Below are 27,619 nucleotides of genomic sequence, written 5' to 3'. Positions count from 1 at the left end.
CACAGCCTGCACTGTCCCCTCTTCCCAGGTCATGAGGCATGACAACTCCAGCATCTTGGAGCTGGATGGCAAGGAAGTGTCGGTGTTCACCCCCTCAAAGCCAAGGGAGAAGTGGCAGCGCAAGCGGACCCACGTGAAGCTGCGGGTGAGGGTCCCCCGGGCGCCCAGGCCCCCACGATGTCACCCTGTCACCAGCCTCCGTGTCCAGATGAGGAAACTGAGTTGCAGGGAAGCCTGCAGTCTTATGTACCTTCCCAGGCCATGAGGTTGGAGCTGTCAGCCCACTTCACAGACAGGGAAGGCAGCAAGGCTTCCTAGTTTCTCCAAAGCCACGTCATCGTGTCTGATCCAGACTCAGACATGGGCTGCGCAGCTCACAGCTCAAGCCTGCCCCTCAGGCCCACAGAGCTTGAGCAGAACACAGGGACCCGGGGTGCCCTCCGACCCCCTGACCTGGGCTTGCCACTCCCTCCACAGAACGTGACGGCCAACCACCGGATCAATGATGCCCTTGCCAATGAGGACGGCCCCCAGGTTCTGACGGGCAGGTTCATGTATGGGCCCCTGGACATGGTCACCCTGACTGGGGAGAAGGTAAGGACACGGCGGGTAGGGGTAACATGGAGGGACTTTGGGGAGCTCCCTGCTGCCCTCTGGCCGGGGTGCAGGGGGTGGAGAGGCCAGACACAGCCAGCCCGTGACCAGCCTGCTGGGCCCAGGTGGATGTGCACATCATGACCCAGCCGCCCTCAGGCGAGTGGCTCTACCTGGATACGCTGGTGACCAACAACAGTGGGCGTGTCTCCTACACCATCCCTGAGTCGCACCGCCTGGGCGTGGGTGTCTACCCTATCAAGATGGTGGTCAGGTATATGCCTGCACTGGGAGGGCGGGATAGGCAGGGCGAGGCTCTGGGTGGTTCTGATGAGCACCCCCACCACCTGCCAGGGGAGACCACACGTTTGCCGACAGCTACATCACCGTGCTGCCCAAGGGCACAGAGTTCGTGGTCTTCAGCATCGACGGTTCCTTTGCCGCTAGCGTGTCCATCATGGGCAGCGACCCCAAGGTGCGGGCCGGGGCCGTGGACGTGGTGCGGTGAGTGGCCCAGAGGGGCACAAAGGGGCTGTAGCAAGGTGGGTGGGCTCAGGGGCTCCCACCAGCCAGGTGGAGGAGGACAGCGGAGCCTCTGTGGGGGACGCCTGGCTCGGGCACTGGGCCTTAAGGACCTCAGTTCAGAGCCCAGCACCCCCAATTATTAGCCGTGTCACCTTGGGCAAGCGATGTCACTTCTCAATGTCGGCTTTCAATTCCCGCATCTGGAAGGTGAGGCTGGTAAGCCAGGGACACAGCAGCAGGGGCATCTGCCGCCCAGTGCGGGCACCCAAGGGCCTGCTGCAGCACGTCATTGTCAACCATTGTCGTCGTTACTGTCTGAGCTCAATCAGAGATGTGCTTTCCAATGGCCCAAGTGGGCCCTGGCTGGGCAGGAGACAGGGAGGCCCAGGAGGGAGGAAGGGGTGACCATGAGACGACACCTCACCCCCAGGCACTGGCAGGACCTGGGCTACCTCATCATCTACGTGACGGGCCGGCCCGACATGCAGAAGCAGCGGGTGGTGGCGTGGCTGGCCCAGCACAACTTCCCCCATGGCGTGGTGTCCTTCTGTGACGGCCTGGTGCATGACCCGCTGCGGCACAAGGCCAACTTCCTGAAGCTGCTCATCTCCGAGGTGGGGCCCGGGAGGATGGGGCAGGGCAGGGGTGGGGGCAGAGGGACCATGGTGCCTGTGCCCATGCCAGTCTCCCCACAGCTGCACCTGCGCGTGCACGCGGCCTATGGCTCCACCAAGGACGTGGCGGTGTACAGCGCCATTAGCCTGTCCCCCATGCAGATCTACATCGTGGGCCGGCCCACCAAGAAGCTGCAGCAGCAGTGCCAGGTGAGTGGGCGCATTGTGGGGGCGGGTGCAGGCGGGCAGCTCGGGGAGCCCCAGCCTGTGACAGCCGTCCTCACTGACCCCGCAGTTCATCACGGATGGCTACGCGGCCCACCTGGCGCAGCTGAAGTACAGCCACCGGGCGCGGCCCGCTCGCAACACGGCCACCCGCATGGCGCTGCGCAAGGGCAGCTTCGGCCTGCCCGGCCAGGGCGACTTTCTGCGCTCCCGGAACCACCTGCTTCGCACCATCTCGGCCCAGCCCAGCGGGCCCAGCCACCGGCACGAGCGGACACAGAGCCAGGCGGATGGCGAGCAGCGGGGCCAGCGCAGCATGAGTGTGGCGGCCGGCTGCTGGGGCCGCGCCATGACTGGCCGCCTGGAGCCGGGGGCAGCCGCGGGCCCCAAGTAGGGCACCGTGAGTGCAGCGCGGGGTCTCCATGGTGCTAGGCCAGGGTGGCCAGCCCCGCCAGGAGGCCTGGCCTGGGCACACGCACTGACGTGGGCCTGGGAGATTGTCCCAGGGCCTTGTGGAGGACACGGGCCGCACCACACAGTGCTCCCTGCCCTGCCTCACGTCCTCGGGCCTGACGGGTCCGGCTTGTCATGGAAGCTGGCAGGGACCACCAGCCCCAGGATGGCAGAGGGACCAGAACCTCCCACTCAGACTGGCCCGGGAGGTTCTCCCAGACATTTTGCCCTGTGTGGATCTCCAAGTGTCCTGGTGCCAGGTGTGGGCCCAGGCGCAGCCTGCCACCTCCCCATCCACTGGCCACCCTCACTCCCAGGTCCCCTCCCATTTGGTAGCAGCTCCAACAGGGGTCCAGCCTGCATCTTGTTAACTCGAGTTTCTCAACTGTTCAACCTCACTGGTTTTGCACTGATTTTTGAGAGCGGAGACCCATTACCACCTCCTATGGCTACAGCCCCGTTGACATGCATGAAACTCAGTACCTGCTGACCCAGGACCTACAACCACACTGAAGGCTCCAGTGCGGCAGAGCCTCGTGCAAGCAGGAGAGAAAGGCTGTATCTTAATTTCTGCACCCCGGACCCTGCCCACCTGTCTGCCTGCCCCGCCTGGAGCCCAGGCCAGTGTTGTTTCCAGCCTCAGGCCACGGGCTGGACGGGCCTGGCCGCCTCTTCCGCTCCCTGCCATCAGTCAAGGCCGCCCGCCCACGTTTCTACGCCTTTCTACTTCTCAATCTGATTTCTATGAGGTTTTTTTAAACGAGCAATCCTTGGCTGCTTCCTTTTCTTAACTCTTTCAGTACTGAGAGCAGCCCCTCCACACTGAAAACACCCAGCACTGTGACGGAGTCCAGCCTGGTTCTGGGTCCCGTGGGCCCTGCTCCTGCCCACTTAGCGAGGCATGGGCTCCTTGCCTCACCTGGCCCCGGCAATCCCACTGAATTTCTACTCTGGGGTGGGTGGGGCACACACTTCGGTTTTTTTAATGCCAATTCCGTTTTCATGCCGAATCTAAGAAGCCACAACTTGCTTTGTCAGCTTCAGGGCAGGCAGCCATGACTTCATTTCTCGCCTGAACAAGGACCATGCTGTCCTGCACGCTGGGTCTGACCGTCTGCCCTCTCTCCCCAGCACCAAGCGTGACCTTGGCTGTGGCGCTCAACGGCCAGCTCCGGCGGCCCCTCTGCTGCTCCTCGGCTTTCCCGGAAGTGGGAGAGCCTGCCTGGCCTCGGCCTTTGTCCAGCGACCAGGCTCTGTCCCCGAGAAGCTACGGCCGACCTGGGTCTGGTGTTGGGACGCATGGACCGGGCTGGGGAGGTGCACAGAGTGATGTTAACTTTTTCCCGTGTGTAGATATGTACAGCCAAAGGGTCGTGTAAATGTTCTGCAAAAGTGGGTCTATACAGAGTGAAAGCTATTTATTTTGTGCAGAGAAAAAAGTCTGGAGGGATGGAACCTTCAGGGTTTATTCATATTTAAGATGTAGCTTTTTGTTGTTTCAGGCATTATGTATAAAGCAACGATTATTTTATGGACCAAGTTTTCATGTAACTGTTGCAGTGAAAGTGCAATATCTGACCCCCCTGCTCCCAGCAGGAAGTTGCTTGGCCCGACAATCACAGCCCCTGTCAGGGGCCCTGTGGCCAGTGCCTCCTCCTCTCTTGGCCCCACCTTATCCTGTCTTGCCTGCTGCCTGGGAGACCAGCCATCCAGAGAAGCACCTGGAAGAGTCTCGGGCCCTCCTGCAATAAAGGCCGGGAGGCCCTGTGGGCAGTGGGCTCAGCCTCTCCCCAGGGGGGCAGCTCCCCCACGGCTCCTCACTCCCCGCCTGCCTGCCCAGCCGCCAGCCATGCCAAGGACAACAGCAATAGTCCCCTGGGGCTCTCCCAGCGGCCCTCAGCCATAGATGGCAAGGTGGGCAGCCTGCCCCCCCATGGGAAGTCTCTTCTGTATCCAGGTCTGCTTTCCACCTCCCTTCAGATTCCTTTTGGCACATTCTCCTCTTGAGGAAGTACCAGTCTTTCTGAAACTAAGAGAGGGAGGGCAGCGTCCTTTAAAAATACCAAAAATGTTTACAGAGTTGGGTGCTGAGCTGCAGGGCTCAGGCCTGACCAGTCATAACCAAAGGGTGAGGCAGGCCTTGCTGACTGCCACCCCCCAGGCCTGTTAGAATAGAAGCCTTAGTCCCACTCCCACCACACCCCCACGCCCCACCACCTGCCTTCTCTTTGATTTCTAAAGAGGGATTCAGCAGAGACCCCCCACCCCTCCCTGGCTCGGTCTGAGTCCCACTGCCCACCCCATCACAGCCTTCACGTCTCAGCCCCTCCCGTCTGGTCTGTCCGTGTGCCGTCTGTTTCTCTGGGCCATGTGTGAGCAGTGTCCCCATCTCCCCATCCGTCCCTGCTGTCCCCGCATCATTGGGCCTGAGTGTGCTCTGTATACAACGTCATGTCTGTTACACCAATTAAAGAAGCGGGAAGGCTTCCTTCTGGATCTCTTTACTGCAGTGGCGACCGTGGGGCATGGTGGGATGGGGGCATGGAACAGTAATGCTAGTGACACTCACAGTGACGCCAACACGTGAGTGCGGGGCTGACTCTAGGCCTAGCCTGCTTCTAGCTCCTTCCTGGGATGGAACTCAGTTTGCCCTCACAGACCTCAGTGAAACGGGTGCTGTGAGCCTCCCTGCCTCAGAGTGGAAGACACAGCTGGGCAGTGAGAGCCAGACCTGCCACACAGGCCACCCAGCCCCAGCACCTGGCTCTGCACTGCTGCGATCTGTGGAATGAACATGGCAGGGGAAGCCGACTCTCTCCATGCCTGAGTGCATGGCATTTCAGAGCCAGCTCTCTGGGTTTGGGGTTCAGCTGGCATGAGGTCTGGTCCAGGCAGGCTGACCTGAAGAGGAAGGCACAGGCGCTGGTGTGGCCTGTGCTCACGACCACCAGAGGACACCCCAGCTTTGCCCAAAAGCTCCCGGAGCCCTTGTTTTTCCCTGGCAGTCATGTAGCACCCTTCCCTCCCACTCAGCACAAAAAGCCACAGAACAGAGAAAGTCTATCCAGGGGGCCTTTAATAGCTGAGAAGTGCTGCTCTTTCAGATGGGGGTGCCAAGCAGGCCGGTGACCCCAACCTCCACCCCCTGCCCCTGAGAAGAGACTGGGCTGGGCCAGAGACCAATCCACGGGGGAAAGGCCACCAGCACCCATCAGGCTTCCCACTGGCACCCTGAAACCTGCCCAGGCTGGGCCGCCAGCGTCGTCCACAGGCCTTGGCCAGCGGGGGCCCTCAGGGAAGCAACCCAGCTCGCATCTGGAAGGCCAGGCAGTCCCCTCGGGTGGCTTGCTGGGGAAGAAAGCACACAGGAGGAGGGGTACATCACAAACAGAGCTGGGGGCGGATGGCAGGCAGAGGGGCCACACCCACCTTGTTGATCTCTCTGTGTCGTTCTTTGGTTACGATTTCCTCTAGGACCTCGCCATCTCCCTTAATAAGCCTGGGGGTGGGAGGGTCTCCGTTCAGCAAGGAATAGGCAGGTCCCCTAATGCCAGAGGAGCAGAACCACAAGCAGCCGGCAGAGGGGTCCCAGGGCTCCCACCCCGCAGCCTTGAGTGGACAGACCCTGGGGCCTCACCCACTCTCCCTGATGAAGGCAGTGGAGCTGGGCTCTGCCTTGCCAGCCTCAGCCCGGCCAACAACAGCCCTTTCAAGAGCCTCCTCCAGGCCCTTCCAGCCCCTGCAACTACTTACTCCAAGTGACCGTATTTTTGCCCACATTTGGCCTTTTTCAGGCACCAGGAACCCCGCCCGGCCCCACTCCTCCCGAGAGCACACATCTTCAGCCAACACTCCCAGATCCTGTGGTGTAAGTCAGGCCGAAAGCTCCCCACCTGGTGCGCCCCGTCTCAGGGTCCACCACCTTGCGGATGATGCTCTGCCGGGCATCCCACTCCTCCTTGGTCATGGGCTTCATGGCCTGGATTCGGGACTTCTGCTCATCCGTCAGGACTGGAAGGGAAGACGGAGGTGGTGGCCAGGCCTTGGGAAGCGACCTTCTCCCTCTCAGGTGCTGGGCAGCACAGTACCTGGGCCATCCTCTTCCTCCCCAGCTGATCGGTGCCACTGGTCCAGCGAGGGGCCCGGCAGAGCCTCCACCTGCTGTGCTTCCGCCTTCTCCTTGCCCTTCTTCTTCAGCTTCTTCCTCTTCTTCTTCTTCTTCCTCCTCTTGTCCTTGTACTTCCCCCGCTTCTTCCGGCCATCACTGGAGGAAGAGGAGGAGGACGAGGAGGAAGAAGAGGAGCTAGAAGAACTGGAAGAAGAGGAGGAGGAGCTGGATCTTGTTCTCCTCCGGGCCTTCTGCTTGCTTCTCTCTGTGATGCAGGGAGAAGGTGAGGCTGGAAGGCCAGGAGGGGAAGAGGTAAACCTTCGTCCCCTGCTCTGGCCTGGGGCAGGCACAGACCGGCTACAGGGTGAGCGCTTCCTGAGGGGCTTTCCAGAACAGAGATGGAGCTTCCCAGAGGAGCCCCTTCCTGGCTCCTGCGGCGCCTGGCCCTCACATCTCAGGCCCGGCTGCACAGAGGCATGACTGAGCGTCCCCGACCACTGCTCGCCCGACTTCCCCGGGTAGTAACTGCGCCTCCTCTCCCCGATGCCTGTGGTCCTCACCCTCCGCCCCAGGGGCCGTGCTGGCCTTGCGACCTTGGGATGTGGAGGCCGAGCAGTTCCTCGAGGTGTCTTTCCTGCTCTTCTTCTTTCTCTTTTCCGACCCCCGTCCCCGGGACCGGCTGCGACTCCTCGAGCGCTTGCGGGAGCCGACGTGAGCCATGGCGCCGCGGGCTGGCGACGAAGAAGACGCGCTTGAGCCGAAGCCCCCAAGGCCGGCCGCGGGCGGGCTCCAAGGGTGGCTCTAGCGGGGCCGGGGCCTGGCGACGCCCAGTACCCGTCACCGTCCCGGGAAAATGAGCGACCCTCACCCACCCCCAGCGCTGGGGACCCCGGTTTTCTCCGCCGACTCCAGTCCCCGCAGCGGTGCCTGTTAAGGGCCCGCCCCGTGCCCGGAGGCCCCACGCCTGCGCACCCGGCTCCAAACCCCTGGGAACTGGCCGCCGTCCGCCGCGAGTGGCGTCTGGGGCGCTTTCCCGCGCTCTCCTACCCTCCAGCCCCGCGCCCTTCGCGGCCTCGCCGCCTCAAGGGGGCCCCCGGGGCTGCTCCGTTCCCACCTCGACCGCCCTGCGGGCCGGACAGCCCGCCCCGCGCCTTCTCGAGAGGAAGCGGCGGCGAGGAGGCTTCCGGCCGGGGCGCTGCGCGGGAGGCTGGCCGGCTGGGAAGCGCGGCGCCGCTGCCTTTCGTTCTGACGCCCCAGGTTCCGTCCCGGGCGCGCCCACCTCCCGCAGAGGCAAGCAGGGGCGCCGGCCCTCGAGCTCCGCAGCCCCTCACGCCTGTGTCTGCCGAAGCTGCGCCCACTTCCAAGGCTGCCCTCTCGGCGCACGCCCGCAGCACCCACGCCCCCGGTGCCCTGGGAAGAAGGCGACCCTCGCGCGCGCCGCCCTCCTCCCCGGCTGGTCCTGCCCTCTCCATACGACTGCGAGCTCCAGACTGAGGCGCCCTGGTCTTTCCGACGCGCCCACCCAGTGACTCAGAGGTCGCAAACTCGTGTCCGTAGGGGCCAGAAAGATCTTGGCAGTGAGCGCGGGCATGGACCCCAGGCCCATCCGGAAGGAAGCCAGGATTCTGCTCCAGCTGATACGTGCAACGTGGCATGGGGCTGGTGCCCCACCTTCCCAGGGAGACCAAACTCAAGACTGCAATATGGAAGCCCCCTGAGTTTCAAATGTGTAACCCAAAGCGTGGCTGTGCGCTTCATCCAATCTCGGGCCCCCAAGTTGCAACTCTTCCACAATGACAGCCGCAAACACAAAGGGATCTTGCAAAGCACTTTATATACGTCAGCGCATTTGACTCCCAAAACAGCTCTAGGAGGTAGGTGCTAAATGAGGAAACGAAGGCACCAAAAGGTGAAGGCTCACCTAAAGCCACACAGCTGGAAGTGGCAGAAGCAGAATGGGAACCCGGGCAGCCTGGTTCCTGGCCCTGCCATTCACCCCTCTGCCATCTAGAAGATGCTACTGGTGGCCCACCCGAGTCCACTGGGGGGTGATGCCTGCTGCTGAGGGTTCACATCTGTGCTCTCTGGAGGCTTCCCTTGGCTACTGGAAGGCACCCTGCCCTGGAGATAAGTGTCTGGGAAGTTATTCACTCCTCTCTGGCCCCCTCATCCAGGAGCCAGTAACCGGTGGTGTGGGCACACTGTGGTACTGTGGGCTCTGCCTGGAGCTCTCCGTGGGGCCAGCTGAGGCTGGACGTCCTCTGAAGCCACTTCCTTGCCCAGCTGCTCCCTCCCCTCCCCTGCTTCCCTGACTCCCTCGCTGAAGCCCCATTCCAGACCCTGCTTCTGACAAACCTGAACTAAGGCAGCATCTTTGCCCATAGAATGACCCAGAAGCTGGCACACCGTTGAGCCAAGAAGTGCAGTAGGCTGCGGGGATTTTATTTCTGCCCCCAGACCAAGGCAACGGAGCCCTCACCTGCCTGCCACCCCCACACTGGGCCCAAGCAAGCTCAGGTGAGCGCACATACATCCACCGTGGCGGGCTCCTCTCGGGTGAAGCCATCACCGAAGCCCTCATCGTCCACCAGGTCGGGCTCACGGCAGCACATGGGACAGAGGCTGTTGCGCACAGCAGAGGCTCGGAGCCAGACGACAAGGTTCCAACGCTCACCAGTGCCCAAGGGCCGGGCTCCATGCAGCTGGCCGCCACGGTGGAGGACACCCTGGCCCACCACGTGCTCCACCTCCAGGGGCTCCGTCAGGGCTGTGGGTGCCTGCAGATGGCACGACTCAGGCCTGGGCACTCACAGCTGCCCCAGGCCCTGCCGCATGGGTCACACACTCACCTGGAAGAGGCCCCCAAAATACAGGGCGCCCCCTGTGAAGACCTTGCCCAAGGCCACATTGAGGGTGAGCTCGGCATTATCATAGTGGCAGCCCAGCTCCAGGTCCTGGCCCGGTGCGTATTTGACCACAAAGGCCCGGTGGCTGTCGAGCCGGCCCCCGCCACAGTCAGGGTACAGCAGGGCCATCAGCGGCTGCAGGAAGCGCTCCCGCAGTGGTGTCATCAGCGGCTCGTCCAGCCCGAGCTCGTGCAGCAGCACCTGGGAGGGGATTCCTGGGGTCAGCAAGGAAACTAGAGGGCTGCAACCCTGGGCTTCCACTCCACGGTGATCCCACTGTGACCTTCTTTCGCAGCCCGGGCAGGCAGCCCATCTGCAGAACCTCTGACACTGCCTCCTGACCCCAGCCACCCCCTCCTCTGCCACCGGCCAGGCCTCACCCACCCCGTAGTTGTTCATGGTGTTGGGCCTCCCCTTAGGCATGTCCGATTGCTCGAAGTGCTCCAGCTCTTCCAGCAGGGCCTGGCAGAAGGGCGCTGTGAAAACAGGCACCCGGTAGATGCGCTTCTCCTCTGTGGAAGGAGGGATGGTCTGTTGGCCTGAATGTGGCCGTGGGCCGGCCAGGCCTGGGCTTCAGTCTTCCTGTTTCATCACCTGTGCCATGGAGATGAGGCCTTTGCTTTTCAGGGCTATTGTGATGACTTAAGGAAGTAACATGAGGAGCAGGGGAGGCCGATTCCCATGCCCCCCACTTATGCCCGGAACCTTTCCCCAGACTCTACAAGTGTCCACAGGGCTGGCCCTGGGAGCTCACATATGGGTCCTGAGGCCCAGAGAGGGGAAGGAAGTAGCCCAGGGACACCCAGCAGGCCAGTGACAGCCAAGTCGGGATCACAGAGCCAACTTCAGGCTCTCTCTGCACCTCCTTTCATCTGATGAGCCACCGAAGTCTGTACCCCAACTCAGAAGTGGCTCTGGGAGCCTCTGTCCCCCAGCAGGAAGGCCAGAAGGGGCTGTTCTTTCTTGCTGGGCCCTGAGGGGGAAGAAACCAGGCTGAGAATGGAAACCTAAACATTTCTTGGCGGACGCACCAATGCCCAGGGGTGCAGGGCTAGTGTGCCCACGATGGGGCCACCTCGCAGCCTAGGCCCTGCCCCAGCCAACAGCCTCAGCACTATCTCAGCTGCCGGGGAGTGGAAGGCAATGAGGAGAGCACCCCCAGGCTGGGAGGAGGGGGATTCATTCCACCCATGACTCCCAACAAAGCACAGGCTCCATGAGGGGAAACTTGTATCTGCCTCCCACAGGAGCCCCTAGCCCAGGCTATCAGTGCCAATAAGAATAGGAAACACTTTCCAAACACTACGTGCGGGCCCTGTGACAGGCACTCTATGCAGATTAACTCACTTGATCGTCGCAGTGCCTTAAGAGAGGGGGTTACTGTTGCTCCCATTTTACAGATGAGGAAACTGAATCAGAGGTTAAACAACACGCAAACCTCCCTTGCCCAGCATTTCCTGCTGGGTTTAGCCAATAAGTGAGCCCAGCAAGAAATCCGAAGAGAAGTGGGGCATTTTTTGCCCTACTTGGAGTTTGGCATGGCCGCAGGCCTCCGCCCAGAGCCACAACTCCAGGTGGTAACTGCTCCCTCCTGTTGCCAGCCCTGGGGGGCCGGGCTTTGCCATTCCTTACTGGTCCCTTTATCCTGCCCATACCTGTCTCAATGGTCCCTTTAAGATCTTGGATCAGCCCTGTTTGAGTGTGCCAGCTGTCCCACACATGACACAAATATCCACTATTTGCTGGATGAGGGCACGAAGGAAGGGTGAAGGAAAGAATGAAGATACCAGGCTCATGGCAGGTATTGAATGAATGAATGCGGATGTCCTGCTCCTGGCAGGTTGGTCCCACTGACCCTTCCAGCTCCTGCTGGTTTGGTTTTTGGAGGCAGAGATGGTGGCTGGAGGGACCCCAGCATCCCACACCCAGGTTTCCCAGGCTGCCATTCCCTGGTCCTGCCAGGTCTCAGGGCCAGGACCTCACCCGATACTGTCTCCAGCCGCTGGAGAAGGCCCTTGAGGTCTGCGTCTGGGGACACGCTGTACTCAGTCACGGCCAGGAACTCGGGGGCCAGAGCTGCATCCTGGGAGCAAAACACACCAGCTGTGGGGCAGGCAGCACCCCCAGCCCTGGATGCTACCTCCTCTTTCCAGTACCGGCCTTCAAGCACTCTGGCTGGCTGGTACCTGCAGTGAGTCGTAGACCTCAGGCCGTGCCGGGTGGTAGGAACTCGCGATGAGGGCTTTCCTAGCTGCTGACTCCTGCCCCAGCCGCTGCCGCCGCTCCACCTCCTGCTCAAGCTGGGGTGGCACAGGGTTGTTACCAGGTGGGGCCTCCCATCCTCCTGAGGCCACTGTACAGATGAAGAAACTGAAGCCCAGAACGCCAGACAGGGCCCAGGCTGGAAGCCAAGTCTAGCCTACACTCCTGAATCTATCTGGGTCAACTGCAAGTTCCAGACTGTTAGCTGAAAGGGACTTCTAGAAGGGGACCCATCCTGTTTCAGGCTGCCCCAACCTGAGCCTAGCTGGGATGAGAACCCCTAGATGTACCTCAACCATCTGGGCCCACACAGGGACAGGAGACAGTCATGGCCAAGTCCTGTGTTCCAGAGGTTGCTGAGGACTCTCCTGGGAAGCTTCCCACCACTGACTCCAGGGGAAGGAGGAGGAGGGAGTGGGGCAGCAGCCCTGGCAGCAGCCTGCGGGGTATATGGTAAGGTGTGAGGAGCCCAGGGGCCTGGAAGCTGTGGCTGGGATCACATCTGCTCCTGCTGTAAAAGCTTGGGCAAGGGATCCCTCTTTAAGCCTCAGCTTCTCAATCCAAAATGAGAGTGGTGCTTGTGCTTATCTCACAGAGCTGTTAAGAACGGCATGACTAGGCAACTTAGCAACTTAGCATTTCCCCTTCTCTCTCCTGGTGCCAAGACTCAGGTGTGGAGGGATGAGTGGGGGGCAGGAAGGAGGAAAGTGAGGGCCTAAGTGACCCTTCAGGGATCAGGGACTGAGGCTAGGCTCAAGCTGTGTCCTCAAGCTGCGGACACAAATCTAACGAGGAGGAGCTGTGCAGGGGCAGGGGACTGGTACCTCTGCTAACAGCTGCTGGAAGTCCTTGGCGCTAACACAGCCTCGGCTGCGCAGGATCTGGGAGCAGAAAGAACACTGAGCATGACTGTATGACCTGAGGAAATCCCTTCACTCTCTAAGCCTCAGTTTCCCCTGCTTAAAATGGGGAGAGGAGCCCCGACCTCAAAGGATCATGGAGAGAATGAACTGCGGAACCCTGTCAAGCTCAGGACAGGGCTCCGGGCTGGTGTTGCTGTGAGGCGGCAAGCTGAGCCCGGCCCTGTCCTAAGCACCCTACATGCTTGTTCATTCCTTCCTCACAATCTCACAGGGAGATACTATTACCCCTTTACGGTGAGAAAACCGAGGCAGAGAGAGGCCGTCATTCTTGTATTTGAAGATACGGTGCGCGGCGTGCGCAAAGCAAACGACCCTGGGGACGAACTTCCCTCCTCCACTACCCCTCTCTGCCCACTGCTCCGTAGGGACGACAGCGGCCACTCACCGGGCCGTAGTCCCGGCGCAGCTGCTGCTCGCCTCGGAAGCGCACGTGCAGCCCATAGCGCGCCACGTACAAGTTATCGGTGCAGAAGCAGGCGCAGCGGCAGAAGTGCCGCGGAGCCCCCACCGTCGCCATAGTGAAGCACCCACAGCCCTACCAGCTTCCGTAGAGAGACTTCGGGCACGCCCCCAACCGCGGGAGGCGCGGAACCAGCGGCCAAGGGGCCGCTCTAAGTTCCCAAGGGCGGAAAAGGACGAAGACGCACCTCGCCAGGAAACGGTCTGCGGAGAAAGATGCTCCTGGGCCGGGTTGGGACCGGCGGCCTCCTCGTTCCGCCTCCCAGTTTTCCCACTACGAGGCAGGGACTAATGGCTCCACTTTACAGACAGCTGAACTGGGTCGTGCCTTCACAGGACGGGGAGAGGAAGGGACTCGGAGCCCCAAGGCCTTTGACTTAAACGCCGACCCACCCCCCGCCGTCTGCCCGGAGCTCGTGGAGAACCAGCCGAGCTGAGGACAGTTTAAAGAGCTCGGAGGTCCGACTAGTTCCCGCTGGTGCTTCAATCATCCAGCCCTGTACGTTTCAGTTTGGATTTAGCATCTACCCCGGGTCCCTGCCTGGCGCTTCCGGTCCCTCCGCCACAGTCTGTTGGATTACCTCAGATTGCCCCAGTGAGTGTCTCCACCAAAACGCTCCGTCTCGCATTACTTCCGGTGGCGTTCCCAATGGACGCGGGAGGGCGGGGTCAGGTGTGGGAGGGCGACGGGGCGTGGTCTCACCGCAGCCAACAAATGACAACTCTTGCAGACCGAGCCTCTTCTCTCCCCGGACCTTTGCTCAGGAATCTACCAGCATTAAACCTTTGAGCTAGGTACTATTATATCACCGTCTTACAGATGAGGAAACTGAGACCCAGAGAGGCACAGGGACCCGCCGCAGGTCACACATCCAGTAAGGGGCAAATATGGCGTTTGAACCCTACAGAGTTCCCCAGTTAACCACCACAGGGCTTCTGGGAGTGGTGGAAGTATGTGGGATTTGGGGTTTTCTCGTGCAGAGCTGCCCGGCCCGAGAAGGTGTTTAACGTTTTACAGTCGTCTTGATTGCCCAGTGATAGTGAGAGGCCCTGCTATCTAGGAAAGGATCCATTTCCCCAGATCAATGTTCATTACCCGCCTAACTGCCCTTTTTCCCCAGGAGGCCCAGGGCAGGTCGGCTCCCCAGCCACCCACCAGGCAGGCCTGGCACATGCAGCACCCCACCCCACCCTCACCCCCTCTCCGTTTGCAGCAGTTTGCAAGATGAGTGTGTTGTACCTATCAGTTTATTTATTTGTTTATTTACTTTTTGAGATAGAGTTTCACCCAGGCTGGAGTGCAGTGGCGCGATCTCCGCTCACTGCAACCTCTGCCTCCCGGATTCAAGCAGTTTTCCTGCCTCAGCCTCCCGAATAGCTGGGATTATCGGCAGGCGCCACCACGCCCAGCTAATTTTTTTGTTTTTTGTTTGTTTGTTTGTTTGTTTTGAGACGGAGTCTTGCTCTGTCGCCCAGGCTGGAGTGCAGTGGCACGATCTCGGCTCACTGTAAGCTCTGCCTCCCGGGTTCACGCCATTCTCCTGGCTCAGCCTCCCGAGTAGCTGGGACTACAGGCGCCCGCCACCACACCCGGCTAATTTTTTATGTTTTTAGTAGAGACGGGGTTTCACCGTGTTAGCCAGGATGGTCTTGATCTCCTGACCTCGTGGTCCCCCTGCCTCGGCCTCCCAAAGTTTTTGTTTTTTTTTTTTTTTTTTTTTTTTTTTTTTTCTTTTTTTGAGACGGAGTCTCGCTCTGTCGCCCAGGCCGGACTGCGGACTGCAGTGGCGCAATCTCGGCTCACTGCAAGCTCCGCTTCCCGGGTTCACGCCATTCTCCTGCCTCAGCCTCCCGAGTAGCTGGGACTACAGGCGCCCGCCACCGCGCCCGGCTAATTTTTTGTATTTTTAGTAGAGACGGGGTTTCACCTTGTTAGCCAGGATGGTCTCGATCTCCTGACCTCATGATCCACCCGCCTCGGCCTCCCAAAGTGCTGGGATTACAGGCGTGAGCCACCGCGCCCGGCCTTGTATTTTTAGTAGAAACGGGATTTCGCCATGTTGGCCAGGCTGGTCTAGAACTGAGACCACTGCGCCTGGCCTGCTTATCAGTTTAGATTGGCCCTCTCCATGGACCCTCTCCTCCTTCCAGACACTCTGGGCTCAGTCACCGAAGGGAGCAGCAGCAAGAAGAATATTTACCAGCAAGTACTGAATCAACATGTGCTGCCAGCCAGCGCTGACATGTATCTTTGTTGACTGCTTAAGGTATTATTACCCCCATTTTACAGATAAGGAAAGTGAGGTGGGTACAGGAATCTGTCTAGAGTCATAAACCTAGTGAGTAGCAGACCAGAATTAGAACGCTCCAGAATTAGAGTATCTTGATTCCAGAGTCGTATGTATATGTGTATGTGAATATATGTATATGAATGTGCAATCATATGTATATGTCTGTATATGTGTATATTTACACATACTTTAAAAATTGACATAGAGGCCAGGTGTGGTGGCTCACGCCTGTAATCCTAGCACTTTGGGAGGCTGAGGCCAGCGGATTACCTGAGGTCAGGAGTTCGAGACCAGCCTGGGCAACATGGTGAAACCCCGTCTCTACTAAAAATATAACAAAATTATCCAGGCGTGGTAGCACACGCCTGTAATCCCAGCTACTCGGGAGGCTGAGGCATGAGAATCACTTGAACCCAGGAGGCGGAGGCTGCAGTGAGCCGAGATTGCGCCACTGCACTCCAGCCTGGGCGACAGAGTGAGACTCTGTCTCAGAAAACAAAAACAAAAAAGTCAACATAGAGCACTGGACAAACCCATGTAACCAGCACCCAGATCCCAATCAGAACATTCCAGCCCCCGTAGAAGCGCCCCTGTTATTTTTCTCGACTGCTTTCTATTCCCTTGAGTGAACATTCCACAAGTCATTGACCCATTCTACAGCTGACAGACATTTACGCTGTTTCCAGTTTAAAGACATTACGAATGAGGCCAGGCGCCATGGCTTACGCCTGTAATCCTAGCACTTTGGGAGGCCAAGGCGGGTGGATCACGAGGTCAAGAGATCCAGACCATCCTGGCTACAAAAAATTAGCCGGGCGCGGTGGCTGGCGTCTGTAGTCCCAGCTGCTCGGGAGGCTGAGGCAGGAGAATGGCGTAAACCTGGGAAGCGGAGCTTGCAGTGAGCCAAGATTGCACCACTGCACTCCAGCCTGCGTGACAGAGTGAGACTCTGTCTCAACAAAAAAAAAAAAAAAAAAAAAAGACATTATGAATGAAGCTGCTATGAACATTCTTTTTATTATGATAACATCTACATAACGAAATTTACCATTTTAACCACTTTTAATAGATTTCCTTTTTTTTAAGATCAGTTTTAGGCTCACAGCAAAATTGAGTAGCAAGTATAGCCACAGCACACACAGCCTCCCCCACCATCACCATCCCACACGAGCCAGTACATTTGTTATGGTCAGTGAACCCACACTGACACCTCATTATCATCCAAAGCTGGCAGTTTACATTAGGATTCATATATTCTATAGTTTTTGGCTGGGCGCAGTGGCTCACACCTGTAATCCCAGCACTTTGGGAGGTCGAGGTGGGCAGATCGCTTGAACTCAGGAGTTCGAGACCAGCCTGGTCAACATGGCAAAATCCCGTCTCTATGAAAAATACGAAAATTAGCTGGTTGTGGTGGCACACCTATGATCCCAGCTACTCAGGAGGCTGAGGTGGGAGAATCACTTGAACCTGGGAAGCAGAGGTTGCATGGGCAGAGGTCATGCTGCTGAACCCCAGCCTGGGTGACAGAATGAGACCCTGTCTCAAAAAAATCATTAAAAATTAAATAAACATATTCTATAGTTTTTTTGTTGTTTTTGTTTGTTTTTGATTTTTTTTTTTTTTTTTTTTGAGATGGAGTCTCACTCTGTCGCCCAGGCTGGACTGCAGTGGCATGATCTCAGCTCACTGCATCTTCCACCTCCTGGGTTCAAGCGATTTTCCTGCCTCAGCCTCCTGAGTAGCTGGGATTACAGGGGTGTGCCACCACACTTGGCTAATTTTTTTTTATATTTTTGGTAGAGACAGGGTTTCACCATATTGGCCAGGCTGGTCTCGAACTCCTGACCTCAGGTGATCCACCCGCCTTGGCCTCCCAAAGTGCTGGGATTACAGGCCTATAGTTTTTGACAAATGTATGTGGCATGCATCTACCATTACAGTATCATATGGAGTAGTTTCACTGCCCTAAAAATCCTCTGTGCCCTGCCTACTCACCCCTTCCTTCTCACTAACCCTTGGCAAACACTGATCTTTGTACTGTCTCCACCGTTTTGCCTTTTCCAGAATGTCATATGGTAGGAATCATACAGTAGGGAGCTTTTTCAGATTGCTTCCTTCTCTTAGGAATGTGCATTGAAGGTTCCTCCGTGCCTTTTCATGGCTTGATAGCTCATTTCATTTTAGCACTGAATAATATTCTGTTGTCTGGGTGTACCACAGTGCATCCATTCACCTGCTGAACGACATCATAGTTGCTTCCAAGTTTAGGCAATTACGAATAAAGCTTTATTTTATTTTATTTTTGTTTATGTTTTAGTCGATAAATCATTTTACATGCTCATGGGGTATGTAGTGATGTTTCAATACATATAATGCATAGTGATCAGATCAGGGTCATGAGCATATATATCATCTCAAACATCTATCATTTCTTCGTGTTGGAAACATTCAATAGAATAAAGCTTCCAGGCTGGGTGTGGTGGCTCACACCTGTAATCCCAGCACTTTGGGAGGCCGAGGCAGGTGGATCACCTGAGGTCAGGAGTTCTAGACCAGCCTGGCCAATATGGTGAAACTTCATCTCTACCAAAAATACAAAAATTAGCCAGGCGTGGTGGCATGCGCCTGTAATCCCAGCTACTTGGGAGGCTGAGGCAGGAGAGTCACTGGAGCCTAGGAGGTGGGGGTTGCAGTGAGCCGAGATCACACCACTGCCCTGCAGCCTGGGTGACAGAGCAAGAGTTCATCTCAAATAAATAAATAAATAAATTAGCCGGGCATGGTGGCAGGCTTCTGTAATCCCAGCTGATCGGGAGGCTGAGGCAGGAGAATCACTTGACCCCGGGAGGCGGAGGTTGCAGTGAGCTGAGTTCATGCCATTGCACTCCAGCCTGGGAGACAGAGTGAGACTCCATCTCGAAAGTAATAATGATAAAGCTTCTATAAACATCTGTGGACAGGTGTTTCTGTAGACGTAAATTTTTACTTCCTCTGGGTAAATATCACAGAGTGTGATTGCCTGATCATGTAGTAAGAGCATAGTTAGTTTTATAAAAAAACCTGCCGAACTGCCTTCCTCCCTAGCTGGACTGTTTTGCATTCCCAGCAGCAATGAATGAGAGTCCCTGTTGTTCCTCATCGCTGACAGCATTTGGTGTTGTCAGTGTTCCAGATCTCAGCTATTCTAGTGTGTGTGTATTGATATCACATTGCTGTTTTAATTTGCATTTCCTTTATGGCATATGGCATGGAGTGTTTTTTCTTTCTCTTTTTTTTTTTTTTTGAGACAGGGTCTCTGTCGCCCAGGCTGGAGTTCAGTGGTATGGACACAGCTCATTGCAGCCTCAACATCCCAGGTTCAAGCAATCCTCCCACCTCAGCCTCCTGAGTAGCTGGGACTACAGGCATGTGCCACCACACCCAGCTAATTTTTTAAATTGTTTGTAGCAACTGGGTCCCACTGTGTTGCCCGGGCTGGGTTCAAGTGATCCTGCCACCTTGGCCTCCCAAAGTGCTGGGATTACAGGCATAAGCCACATTGCCTGGACTTCCTTTTGTAATAATAGCTTTATTGAGATACACTGTACATACCATACAATTCACCAAATTAAAGTTTACAATTCAAGAGTTTTTAGTATATTCACAGAGTTGTGCAACCATCACTACAATCAACTTTTAGAACATTCCTCACCCAAAAAGACACCGTATCCATTAGCAGTCACTCACACAATGGTTCTTAGTCCAAGTTTACCAGAGCCAGTCTCTGTGACTAGGCTGGGGATGCAAATGGGACCACTCAAGCCAGTTGGCTGCCACATGGCAGCCGGGGGGGGGGGGGGGGTGGAAAGGATGCTGGGAAGGCAGTGACTGGTGGCCCACTCACCTGTGCCTCACCTGTTTCACCCTCCCCTTGTCACAAGGCTGACAGCCTCCTGCAGTGCACCTGACATTGCAGCTTACCTTCCCCGCCTCACCAAGCTCTCATTCTAAGATTGTTTCAAGTGCAAGGAGAGTGGGCCAGATATGTGAAAGGGACGCAGTGGCCAGGATTTGAGAAGCCCATCCTTGGCAGAGGTGACAAGCTATGCAAAGGTACAGAGAGGCCGGGTGCGGTGGCTGATGCTTGTAATCCCAGCACCGTGGGAGGCCAAGGTGGGTGGATCACCTGAAGTCAGGAGTTTGAGACCAGCCTGGCCAACATGGCAAAACCCCATCTCTACTAAAAGTACAAAAGTCAGCCGGGCGTGTTGGTACATGCTTGCAATCCCAACTACTCGGGAGGCTGTGGTGGGAAGAATGCTTGAACCCAGGAGGTGGAGGCTGCAGTGAGCCTGGGTGTCAGAGCAAGACTCCATCTCAAAAAAAAAAAAAAAAAAAAAGGTACAGAGGAATGAGAGACTGGAGAGCTTGCAAACTTGATCGCTGGAAAGCAACATCCATGTGAAGAAATAGCATGTGATGAGGCCGAATTGTTTCTGTCCGTTTCACATTTCTGACAGCTCCTGTTGATTTTTGCTATACTATGCTAGTAGTTACATAAAGGTTCAGTCATCCCATCTCTCCTAAAAATAATCCTTGTTCTCCTTTACTGAAAGTTTATCACATGCCAGGGGCTGCCCTCACTGGCCTTGTCACATTTTACCTTTACCTGATGCAGTCGATATCTTTATTACCCCATTTCTCTGATGAGAAAACAGGCTCAGATAGGCAAAGTCACCTCTTTAAGGTCACACAGCATAAATGACAGAGCCCAGCTCTGAGTGACTCCTGCTTTTTGGACAGTCCATCCAAGATATCGTCTTCAAGTACAATTAGATATTTGCCTTTGTTTTTGCACCAATAGTAACATGGTTCAACTTTATTCTCTCCTTGGTTTTTACTCAATACATTTAGGAGGTCATTCCATACCTTTATATAACTCTATGTCTTCTATTTTTTTTTTTCTGGCTACAGAGTATTCTGTTGAACAGGTGTTCTCTAATTATTTGGCCAGTTCCCTATGGAAGGGTATTTAGGTTATTTCCAGACTTTTGCTACTGTAGTAACTACCTTTAAGCTAGTACCTTAGCTCCCTTGCACAAGTCTATCTGTAGAGGAAATTCCTTCTGGGTTAAAAAAAAACATAGTGTTGTAAGTTCTGAACAAATTCCCCTCTAAAGAAGCTGTCCCACCAAGTAGCAGAGGACATTTCCAATTCAGAGAGTGCTCCAAAAAGCCTCTGTTCAGGGCTGGGCACACATGGCTCACGACTCTAATCCCAGCAGTTTGGAAGGCCAAGGAGGGCAGATCACTTGAGGTCAGGAGTTTGAGACCAGCCTGGCCAACATGGCTAAACCCCATCTCTACTAAAAATACAAAAATTAGCCAGGCGTGGTAGCGGACACCTGTAATCCCATCTACCTGGGAAGCTGAGGCAGGAGAATCACTTGAAGCTGGGAAGCAGAGGCTGCAGTGAGCTGAGAACTCGCCACTGCACTCCATCCTGGAGTCTCTGTCTCAGGAAAAAACAAAGCCTCTGATCAGAGGATCCAGGGATGTGGGCAGTTCTAGCCCCACCTGCTGCCCCTCTGGGCCGTAAGTCCACTCCCCCACCCACTTCCCACGGTTCAGGCCACATGGACCCTTTTCTGGTCCTCAAGTGGCCAAGTTGGTTCCCACCTCAGAGCCTTTGAACTTGCAGGCCTTAGCGTAGGATGTTCCTCCCTCCCCGTGGCTCACGCCTTCTCACCTTTCACTTACACAATTTTATTTATTTTACTGCATCCAGTACCTGAATGGCCTTATGCACTTACTTGCTGATGTTCTGTCCCCTTCACGCCATGAAGGCTGGGAGTTTTCTGTCTTTTCACACACAGCTGTGTTCCCAGCACCTGGCAGTCACTGAGGACATATCGCTGCCTCCCCTCTCCAATGCCCCGAATCCCTGATCTTGCACCAATTTTCTCCGTAAAATGTATTCCCTTCCAATATATCTCATTTGCTTATATGTGTTGTCTGACACCCTCACTAGAATGTCAGCTCCAGAAGGGCAAGGATCTTGTTTTGTTAATTGTTTAATTTCAAATGCTTAAAAGGGCATATGGCACGCCGTAGGCACTGGATAAATATCTGTTGGGTGAACGAATGAAAGAATAAGTGAATGAATGAGGACCATAACCCACCCTCCTGGACTGGCTGGCTGTCCCTCCAGGGAAAAAGGCCAGTTAAAAAGCTGGCCTCCTTCAGGTGAAACCATTTCCGTCCCCTCAGGATGGGCCCGTGGCTCCAGGTGGAGGCCAGCACGCAGTGTGGAGGGCCTGGTTGGCCAGATGTGGGAGGAGTTTGCCACAGGTGAGCAGGTGGCCAGCTGTGGCCCCGCCCCCAGGAGGCCCGTCCCCACCCGGAGGCTTCGCCAGCCCCCTCCTCGGGGGCCCCGCCCCGTCCAGGAAAGCCCGCCCACTCCTCCTGAGGCCCCGCCCCTCCCGGGAGGCTCCGCCGGTCCCTGCCCCAGGATCCCCGCCCCCTCCGTCACTGAGGCCCCGCCCCGTCCATCAGCCTGTCTCAACGCACGCCAGTCTCAGCTCCGACCTTGCAGCGGCGCAGCGCGGGTGGGAGGCGGGGAGGAGCAGCGGGAAGAGCGGAGCGAGGACCGCGTCCGGCGCAGTCTTCAATGAGCAGCGCGGAAACTGCACCCCAGACCCGAGCCTGCTGCGCGCCCCCTCCCAGAGCTCACCTGGTGCCAGGTAACAGGTAAGGGCAAGGCACCCTAGACCCCTGGTTTTGGGACCTTTCCAGGCCAGGGTGCCAGGCCAGGCACGCGTTGGGGGGCGTCTGGGCACCCCTGCCTCGGTGGGAATAGGCATCTCGGTTGAAGGTGGGAGCCTCCCTGGAGCCCTCCCGGAGCCCGCAGCCGCAGCTCCCAGCCCCCATCCCTGCAGCATCCTTTCCGCGCCCGTAGGGCGAATGTTGCCATTTTTTTTAACCCCCAAGGCGCCGCTGCCTCTTGGAAAATGTGGGAGGTGTTGGAGGATCCTGGGATGGCTGTCGTTCCCCCAGGACGGGGCTGGCGCGCCTTCTGAGGGCTCCCACTGTCCATGTCAGGGCTTCCCAGGGATCCTGAGCACCAGGGCTTTGGCAGAAGCCTGGGGGATCTGGCCTGTTCCTGCTGACCTGGGCAAAGCCCTTTTCTCAGTCTCCTCAGCAGGCCAGTGGGCTGCCGCTGCTCCCCGCCATCCACGCTGGCAGTGAGGCCTGTAGGTTCCCAGGGGAGCCTCTTTTATTTCTGGGCCTCTGGAAAAAAAAAAAAAGCCTCCTCCCCCGGCCTGACATTAACTGAGACAGCTTTAAGCTGGGCTGACAGGATCCCCGCCTCTGCCCATTCCCCTTTTCCGGATAGTGCAGGGCCGGGTGACAAGAGGAGGCTTGGAGGGAGGGCACCTCGCGCCTCTCTGCCTCTCCTAGAGCTGAGAGCACCTGAGACAGCTTCTCAAGTCCCAGAGTGAGGCTGGGCCCCACGTGGGCTGCCAGAGGCTCAGCAGGGATGAAATCAGGATGGACCCACGCAGACCCAGCCCGCTCCTGCCCCAGAGCCAGGGACCCCCACAGTCAGGCCCTCCCACCCAGCAGGCCTCTGTCAGTCAGTGCTTTGCTGCGCAGCGAATGGAATGGGCTTATCTGGGTCTGGGCCCACACCGGGGTAAAAAGCTCACCATGTCAGGGGTGAACCGAGGCCACTGGGCCACCCAAGTTCTTTGGCCCCTTTTCTTGCAATCCCTGAATAGCCTGGACAGGGGACCCCCGAGTCTCCATCCTGGAGACCCTGGATGCGGGTCTCCATCCTGCCTTCGTCCTTTTTCTGCGTGTCACTTAACCTCTTCTGTCTCCCCAGCTGTAAAACGAAGCTGATGACCACAGGGTCCTCCCAGGGAAGTGGGGAGGCCTGGCTGCTTTGGGAGGTGCCAGGCACATAGTAGGGCCCGGTGAAGGGTCTCTGTTGCAGTGTCATAATAACTTTTATCTATTGTCTCCTGGCCTTCTCTGCAAAGGGTCTCTGTTGCAGCGTCATAATAACTGCTATCTATCGTCTTCTGGCCTTCTCTGCAGCTGATGCCTAGAGATACCCCAACCAATGTCTCCTACCCTGGGAAGAAAAGCCTTTGACAAGACCCCTGGTGGGGACAAGGCCACTTGCTTATCCTGTGCCATTCTTTAGTGCACGGAGTCAGGGCGAGCCACCCCTGTCTTCCTGGGCCTTGTCCGGTTCTGGGTGGGGCCTATTCTGGCCACCACCTTGTCCTTGTCCCTCAGGCCAAGCAGGTCACCCATGTGCTCACAATTTGCCCTCCAGCTCCACCTGGCCGAGCCCAGCGCATCCTCTGAGTCAGGCAGTTGGAGAGCGGTGACAGGCCTCTAAGCAGCCTTGGCTGGTGGTCACGCTTCTGCCCAGTAGCTTTAAAAATAACGGAGTAACTGTCCCCACCGAGGACTGTAACCCGACCCGGGGCTGGAGTCCACTCTGCTAGGAGTCTGTGGTAGAAGGACTAGTGCTTGGGGGCAGGGACCCAGGTGCTAGCACTGCTCTGCCCCAGCCTGGTGGATGACCTGAGACAAGCCTCACCCCCTCCCTCTGTGGGCCTCAGTTTCCCCATCTGCAAAATGTGGCTTTGGTAGTCTGCGATATGAGTGTTTGAAATTTTGTTTATTCTGATGAAGATAAATAGGCTTCTGGAGGCGGGGGGCATGACTGGTACCCTGGGCTGTTGGGGGATGGGGAAGGAATTCCCCCAGAGGCTGGGAGTCAGGTTGGGAGAGTCAGCCAAGCCCCTGGGCTGCTGTCCAGGTTTTGAGTCTCTTGCGGATCTGCCTCCTGTTCCACTTCTGAGCCCGAGCCCCTTTCTGGGGACTGAGGGACCCCATGTGCCCACCACGAGGAGAGCAGCAGCTGAGGCGGCTGGCAGCACCTGGTGCAGCCGGCAGTGGCTTGGCTGGGAGGCCTGGAATGGCACCAGGCCAGGAGCTTCCCTCCCTGGGCTCTGACTGGAGCTCACCCACTCGCTCGCTCCCCACGGCCTCTGCATTGCAGCAGACAGGAGCCTGCGTGGGCAGCACAGGCAGGGCTGGGGAGGGAGCCAGGACCTGGGCTGAGGGTGTCCGACCATCCTACCCACTTCCCCTTGCCCTTGACCCTGCTTGGCCCTGACCGTCTTTGGAGGGGCAGCTGCTGACTAAGCAACTGTCATCTCTGCGATGGGCTTCGGTGTGCCTGGAGGTGTGGGGGTGAAAGCAGGGCCCAGGCTTGGAGGTTGTTATATCCCCCCACTCCATTCCCCCTCTGCATCTCAGACCCCTTCTCAGCATTAGTAGGGGTTGTGCCTACCTCCTGGAGAGGCTGTTTTGAAGGGTTGGAGCTATGGAGTTGAGAGTACAGATTTTGGAACTGGACGGCCAGGGTTCACATCCCAGCTTGTGACCCAACTCTGTGGGTCACCTAGCTCTGTGACCCAGGGCAGGTCACTTAATCTCTCTGTTCCTCAGTTTTCCTAACTGTAAAATGGGGATAATGATAGGACCTACTTCATAGGGCTCTGGTGAGTGCTGACGCATGTAAGTGCCTGGAGCCAATGTCAGCTGGCACCAGCTGCTGTCATTGCCAGCAATTAGCCTCAGCAGTCTTATCACCTCTGCCACACGGCCCAGCCCTCTGCTGGGGACCCTTTTCCTTAGATGAACACTTCCCGGTAGCATTTTCCTTCACTCTGTCACCCAGGCTGGAGTGCAGTGGCGCAATCTCGGCTCACCGCAACCTCCACCTCCCAGTTTCAAGTGATTCTTCTGCCTCAGCCTCCTGAGTTGCTGGGGTTACAGGCGTGCACCACCATGCTCGGCTAATTTTTGTATTTTTAGTAGAGACGGGATTTCGCCATGTTGCCCAGGCTGGAATCGAACTCGTGAGCTCAAGCTGTTGCCCATCTTGGCCTCCCAAGAGGCCCAGATGGGATTACAGGTGTGAGCCACCATGCCTGGCCCCTGGTAGCATTTTCTATATTGAATGTTATCTTAGTTTAGGGGTGAAGAACACAGATTCTGGGCTCAGACACCTATGAATCCACATCCCAGCTCTGCTATTCAGAAGCTGTGTAATCTTGGGCAAATTCTTCACTTCTCTGGGCCTCAGTTTCTCCATCTGTTAAGTGGAAGGGATGACAGTGCACATCTCACAAAGTTGCTGTGAGGATTAAATAGGTGGGGCCACCTGGATTTGAAGCACATGGTGCAGGGCAGGGCTCACAGGAAGTGCAGTGTTACATCCCTGTCTGCTTGTAGTTATTAGACAACTGCTTTGTGCCAGGCATGCAGTAGACAGGTGGAGAGGCAGATGCTGGGGTCCTACACTCACTGACTGCCTCAAGTCATCCTGGCTTGGGCCCTTGTTGGCTGAATGTCTGGATCAGGTGGTTTTGTCTCTCTGTGCCTCAGTTTCCCTAACTGTAAACGGGAATATGGAAACCCTGGCCTCGTGGGACTGTGTGAGGTTCCAGTCATGCCACAGTGTGAGCGGTTTGGGCACCTGGGCGCCAGAGCTTCGGGGAGAGGATCTCTCTCAGGATGGCCCCTTCCCAGCCACGACAGTCATCCCCGCTGTCACCCAGCGCCTCACCCCTCCTCTTGGGGGATCTAGAGCCCAGCCCATTTTGCAGATATGACAACAAAAGGCCCACGGGAGGAAGGACTGGAGCTGAGACAGGAGGTAGCACCCAGGGACACACCCCAGCCCGGTCCTAACCCTACCGTGGACAAGCCCCACTCACAAACTCAGGCCTCCAGGCCCACTTCCCGGGTGTCCCTGCGGCTCTGGGGGAGTCCTGAGGGACCCAGTGCCGGGAGATGCCTTGGATAAAGCAGACATCAAGATTCAGAAAACCAAAGGGGCCTAGGGCTGGGCACGAGGGCCAACCTGGGCAGGAGGAAAAGATTCTGGAAACTTCCAAGCAGATGCCAAGGTTTCTGGATTGCTGTGTGGCCTGCAAGCCACCCCCACAGCTGTCAAGTTCCCTCTTAGACCAAAATAGTTTATTTGGGGTTGCAGAGATAGAAGGCCTGACGTGGGAGGAGAAAAGTGGACAAACATTTATTAAGCACACACTGTATATGGTTGATTACAATCAGCAGCAATTATGCACCAGGCACTCTGCCCAGAACTGACACATTGAACCTCACACTCACATTTTGCAAATGAGGAAACAGGTTCAGAGAAATGAGTAGTGGTAGTAAAGACAGCGGCTGTTTATTAAACTCTGCTTATCTCAGCTTCGTCCTCACTATGGATGCAAAATCCTCCAGATACTCCCCACCCTCTCTGATCTCATGGGGCCTTGCTGCCTTCCCAAGGGGCACTCCTGCCTTGGGGCTCTGGCACTGTTTCACCTGTGCCAAGTGCTTTTCCCCAGATAGCCACTTGGCAGACTTCCATAACTCTTTCAAGTCTTGCTCAAGTGTTACCTACCCAGCGAGGTCTTCTCTGGCCCCCTATTTAAAATTGATCTCTGGCCCCGCACAGTGGCTCACGCTTTTGATCCCAGACTTTGGGTTACTGAGGCATGTGGATCACTTGAGGTCAGGAGTTTGAGAACAGCCTGGCCAACATGGTGAAACCCCGTCTCTACTAAAAAAAATACAAAAAGTTAGCTGGTCATGGTGGTGGGGTACCTGTAGTCCCAGCTACTTGGGGGGCTGAGGCAGGAGAATCGCTTGAACCAGGGAGACGGAGGTTGCGGTGAGCCGGGATCGCACCACTGTACTCCAGCCTGGGCGACAGAGCAAGACTCTGTCTCAAATAAATAAATAAATAAAATAAAATTGATCTCTGTCTTCCCCCACCCCTATCCTATTCACCCTCACCCCATCCTATTTACCCCCCTCTTTTTTCCACCACAACCCTTATCTCTTTTTTTAATTAAAAAAAATTTTTTTTTTTAGAGATAGGATCTTGCTGTCACCAGGGCTGGAGTGTAGTGGCATGATCATAGCTCACTGTGGCCTCGAACTCCCAGGCTGAAGAAGCGATCCTCCCATCTTGGCCTCCCAAGTAGCTTGGACTACAGGAGCATGCTACCACACTCAGTTAATGTTTGTTTGTTTGTTTGTTTGTTTGCTTTTTAAAGACAGGGTCTCACCCTGTTGCCCAGGCTGCTCTCCAACTCCTGGCCTCAAGGGATCCTCCAACCTTGGCCTCACAAGACACACATTATTTCCTTATTATCTTTTTTTTTTTTTTTTG

The 27,619-nt window shown here is 56.6% G+C and overlaps 4 protein-coding genes across 84 annotated transcripts in view, besides 11 other annotated features; 2 read left to right on the top strand and 2 right to left on the bottom strand.

Moving 5' to 3' along the window:
• PITPNM2 (phosphatidylinositol transfer protein membrane associated 2) overlaps positions 1-4,899 on the top strand; it is a 168,369-nt gene extending 163,470 nt beyond the window's left edge. For 28 of the 29 annotated variants that reach the window (XM_047429206.1, XM_047429208.1, XM_047429215.1 and 25 more), the window contains 7 exons: positions 29-145; positions 478-594; positions 720-868; positions 949-1,098; positions 1,550-1,733; positions 1,815-1,943; positions 2,029-4,899. In XM_047429206.1, the coding sequence (XP_047285162.1) occupies positions 29-145; positions 478-594; positions 720-868; positions 949-1,098; positions 1,550-1,733; positions 1,815-1,943; positions 2,029-2,352 (1,170 nt within the window). In that variant the 3' untranslated portion in view covers positions 2,353-4,899. The remainder of the gene's footprint in view (positions 1-28; positions 146-477; positions 595-719; positions 869-948; positions 1,099-1,549; positions 1,734-1,814; positions 1,944-2,028) is intronic. The other variant, NM_001384660.1, reaches the window with a different exon arrangement.
• Positions 4,900-5,469: 570 nt separating this feature from the next.
• On the bottom strand, positions 5,470-8,146 carry ARL6IP4 (ARF like GTPase 6 interacting protein 4). Of its 33 annotated transcripts, none has more exons than NR_103512.2 (6): positions 7,634-7,698; positions 7,080-7,250; positions 6,570-6,723; positions 6,305-6,348; positions 5,841-5,910; positions 5,470-5,759 (listed from the first exon to the last, which is right to left on the bottom strand). NR_103512.2 is itself a non-coding variant. In NM_001400282.1 (6 exons), the coding sequence occupies exons 2-6, from the start codon at positions 7,237-7,239 to the stop codon at positions 5,703-5,705; spliced, it is 714 nt and encodes a 237-aa protein (NP_001387211.1). In that variant the 5' UTR covers positions 7,240-7,250; positions 7,994-8,146; the 3' UTR covers positions 5,470-5,702. The 33 variants fall into 33 exon arrangements, 32 of the variants coding, with proteins under 32 accessions (NP_001387211.1, NP_001387210.1, NP_001387249.1 ...); NM_001400282.1 differs by lacking the exon at positions 7,634-7,698 and adding an exon at positions 7,994-8,146 and having other exon boundaries at positions 6,305-6,422; positions 6,500-6,808; NM_001400281.1 differs by lacking the exon at positions 7,634-7,698 and adding an exon at positions 7,994-8,146 and having other exon boundaries at positions 6,570-6,808.
• Positions 7,114-7,619: an enhancer, noted in NCBI's record as "H3K27ac hESC enhancer chr12:123465307-123465812 (GRCh37/hg19 assembly coordinates)". NCBI's record gives its function as "activates a minimal SCP1, AML or CMV promoter by ChIP-STARR-seq in naive H9 embryonic stem cells {active_cell/tissue: H9 hESC(naive)}" and the evidence as "EXISTENCE:reporter gene assay evidence [ECO:0000049][PMID:30033119]".
• Positions 7,114-8,125: a biological region, named in NCBI's record as "H3K27ac hESC enhancers GRCh37_chr12:123464801-123465306 and GRCh37_chr12:123465307-123465812".
• Positions 7,282-7,381: a silencer, noted in NCBI's record as "silent region_5027". NCBI's record gives its function as "represses an Ori minimal core promoter by ATAC-STARR-seq in GM12878 lymphoblastoid cells {active_cell/tissue: GM12878}" and the evidence as "EXISTENCE:reporter gene assay evidence [ECO:0000049][PMID:35858748]".
• Positions 7,392-8,031: a silencer, noted in NCBI's record as "silent region_5026". NCBI's record gives its function as "represses an Ori minimal core promoter by ATAC-STARR-seq in GM12878 lymphoblastoid cells {active_cell/tissue: GM12878}" and the evidence as "EXISTENCE:reporter gene assay evidence [ECO:0000049][PMID:35858748]".
• Positions 7,620-8,125: an enhancer, noted in NCBI's record as "H3K27ac hESC enhancer chr12:123464801-123465306 (GRCh37/hg19 assembly coordinates)". NCBI's record gives its function as "activates a minimal SCP1, AML or CMV promoter by ChIP-STARR-seq in primed H9 embryonic stem cells {active_cell/tissue: H9 hESC(primed)}" and the evidence as "EXISTENCE:reporter gene assay evidence [ECO:0000049][PMID:30033119]".
• Positions 8,282-8,501: an enhancer, noted in NCBI's record as "active region_7248". NCBI's record gives its function as "activates an Ori minimal core promoter by ATAC-STARR-seq in GM12878 lymphoblastoid cells {active_cell/tissue: GM12878}" and the evidence as "EXISTENCE:reporter gene assay evidence [ECO:0000049][PMID:35858748]".
• On the bottom strand, positions 8,337-13,653 carry OGFOD2 (2-oxoglutarate and iron dependent oxygenase domain containing 2). 7 transcript variants are annotated; one of them, NM_024623.3, is made up of 8 exons: positions 13,258-13,653; positions 12,512-12,568; positions 11,978-12,126; positions 11,612-11,725; positions 11,409-11,508; positions 9,810-9,937; positions 9,369-9,626; positions 8,337-9,296 (listed from the first exon to the last, which is right to left on the bottom strand). In NM_024623.3, exons 3-8 carry the CDS (start codon positions 11,984-11,986, stop codon positions 9,033-9,035), a joined length of 873 nt encoding a protein of 290 aa, NP_078899.1. In that variant the 5' UTR covers positions 11,987-12,126; positions 12,512-12,568; positions 13,258-13,653; the 3' UTR covers positions 8,337-9,032. The 7 variants fall into 7 exon arrangements, with proteins under 7 accessions (NP_078899.1, NP_001291763.1, NP_001291764.1 ...); NM_001304834.2 differs by lacking the exon at positions 11,978-12,126 and adding an exon at positions 10,288-10,398 and having other exon boundaries at positions 9,810-10,019; NM_001304835.2 differs by lacking the exon at positions 11,978-12,126 and having other exon boundaries at positions 9,810-10,054; positions 11,213-11,508.
• Positions 13,231-13,690: an enhancer, noted in NCBI's record as "active region_7247". NCBI's record gives its function as "activates an Ori minimal core promoter by ATAC-STARR-seq in GM12878 lymphoblastoid cells {active_cell/tissue: GM12878}" and the evidence as "EXISTENCE:reporter gene assay evidence [ECO:0000049][PMID:35858748]".
• ABCB9 (ATP binding cassette subfamily B member 9) overlaps positions 13,265-27,619 on the top strand; it is a 56,505-nt gene continuing 42,150 nt past the window's right edge. For 10 of the 15 annotated variants that reach the window (XR_007063062.1, XR_001748647.3, XR_001748646.3 and 7 more), the window contains exon 1: positions 21,916-22,092. The gene's annotated coding sequence lies outside the window, so the exon portion shown is untranslated. Of the gene's footprint in view, positions 13,665-13,809; positions 13,865-15,220; positions 15,337-21,915; positions 22,093-27,619 lie in introns of those variants that run through there. The other 5 variants (XR_007063061.1, NM_001437843.1, NM_001438398.1 and 2 more) reach the window with 3 other exon arrangements.
• Positions 21,608-21,897: a silencer, noted in NCBI's record as "silent region_5025". NCBI's record gives its function as "represses an Ori minimal core promoter by ATAC-STARR-seq in GM12878 lymphoblastoid cells {active_cell/tissue: GM12878}" and the evidence as "EXISTENCE:reporter gene assay evidence [ECO:0000049][PMID:35858748]".
• Positions 21,608-22,467: a biological region, named in NCBI's record as "H3K27ac-H3K4me1 hESC enhancer GRCh37_chr12:123450459-123451264".
• Positions 21,662-22,467: an enhancer, noted in NCBI's record as "H3K27ac-H3K4me1 hESC enhancer chr12:123450459-123451264 (GRCh37/hg19 assembly coordinates)". NCBI's record gives its function as "activates a minimal SCP1, AML or CMV promoter by ChIP-STARR-seq in primed H9 embryonic stem cells {active_cell/tissue: H9 hESC(primed)}" and the evidence as "EXISTENCE:reporter gene assay evidence [ECO:0000049][PMID:30033119]".
• Positions 22,468-23,275: an enhancer, noted in NCBI's record as "H3K27ac-H3K4me1 hESC enhancer chr12:123449651-123450458 (GRCh37/hg19 assembly coordinates)". NCBI's record gives its function as "activates a minimal SCP1, AML or CMV promoter by ChIP-STARR-seq in primed H9 embryonic stem cells {active_cell/tissue: H9 hESC(primed)}" and the evidence as "EXISTENCE:reporter gene assay evidence [ECO:0000049][PMID:30033119]".

This window comes from Homo sapiens, chromosome 12 (genome assembly GCF_000001405.40).
Source record: "Homo sapiens chromosome 12, GRCh38.p14 Primary Assembly".
Lineage (NCBI taxonomy): Eukaryota > Metazoa > Chordata > Mammalia > Primates > Hominidae > Homo > Homo sapiens.
Note: the sequence above shows the minus strand (reverse complement) of the source record. Positions and strands in the feature narration are given on the sequence as shown.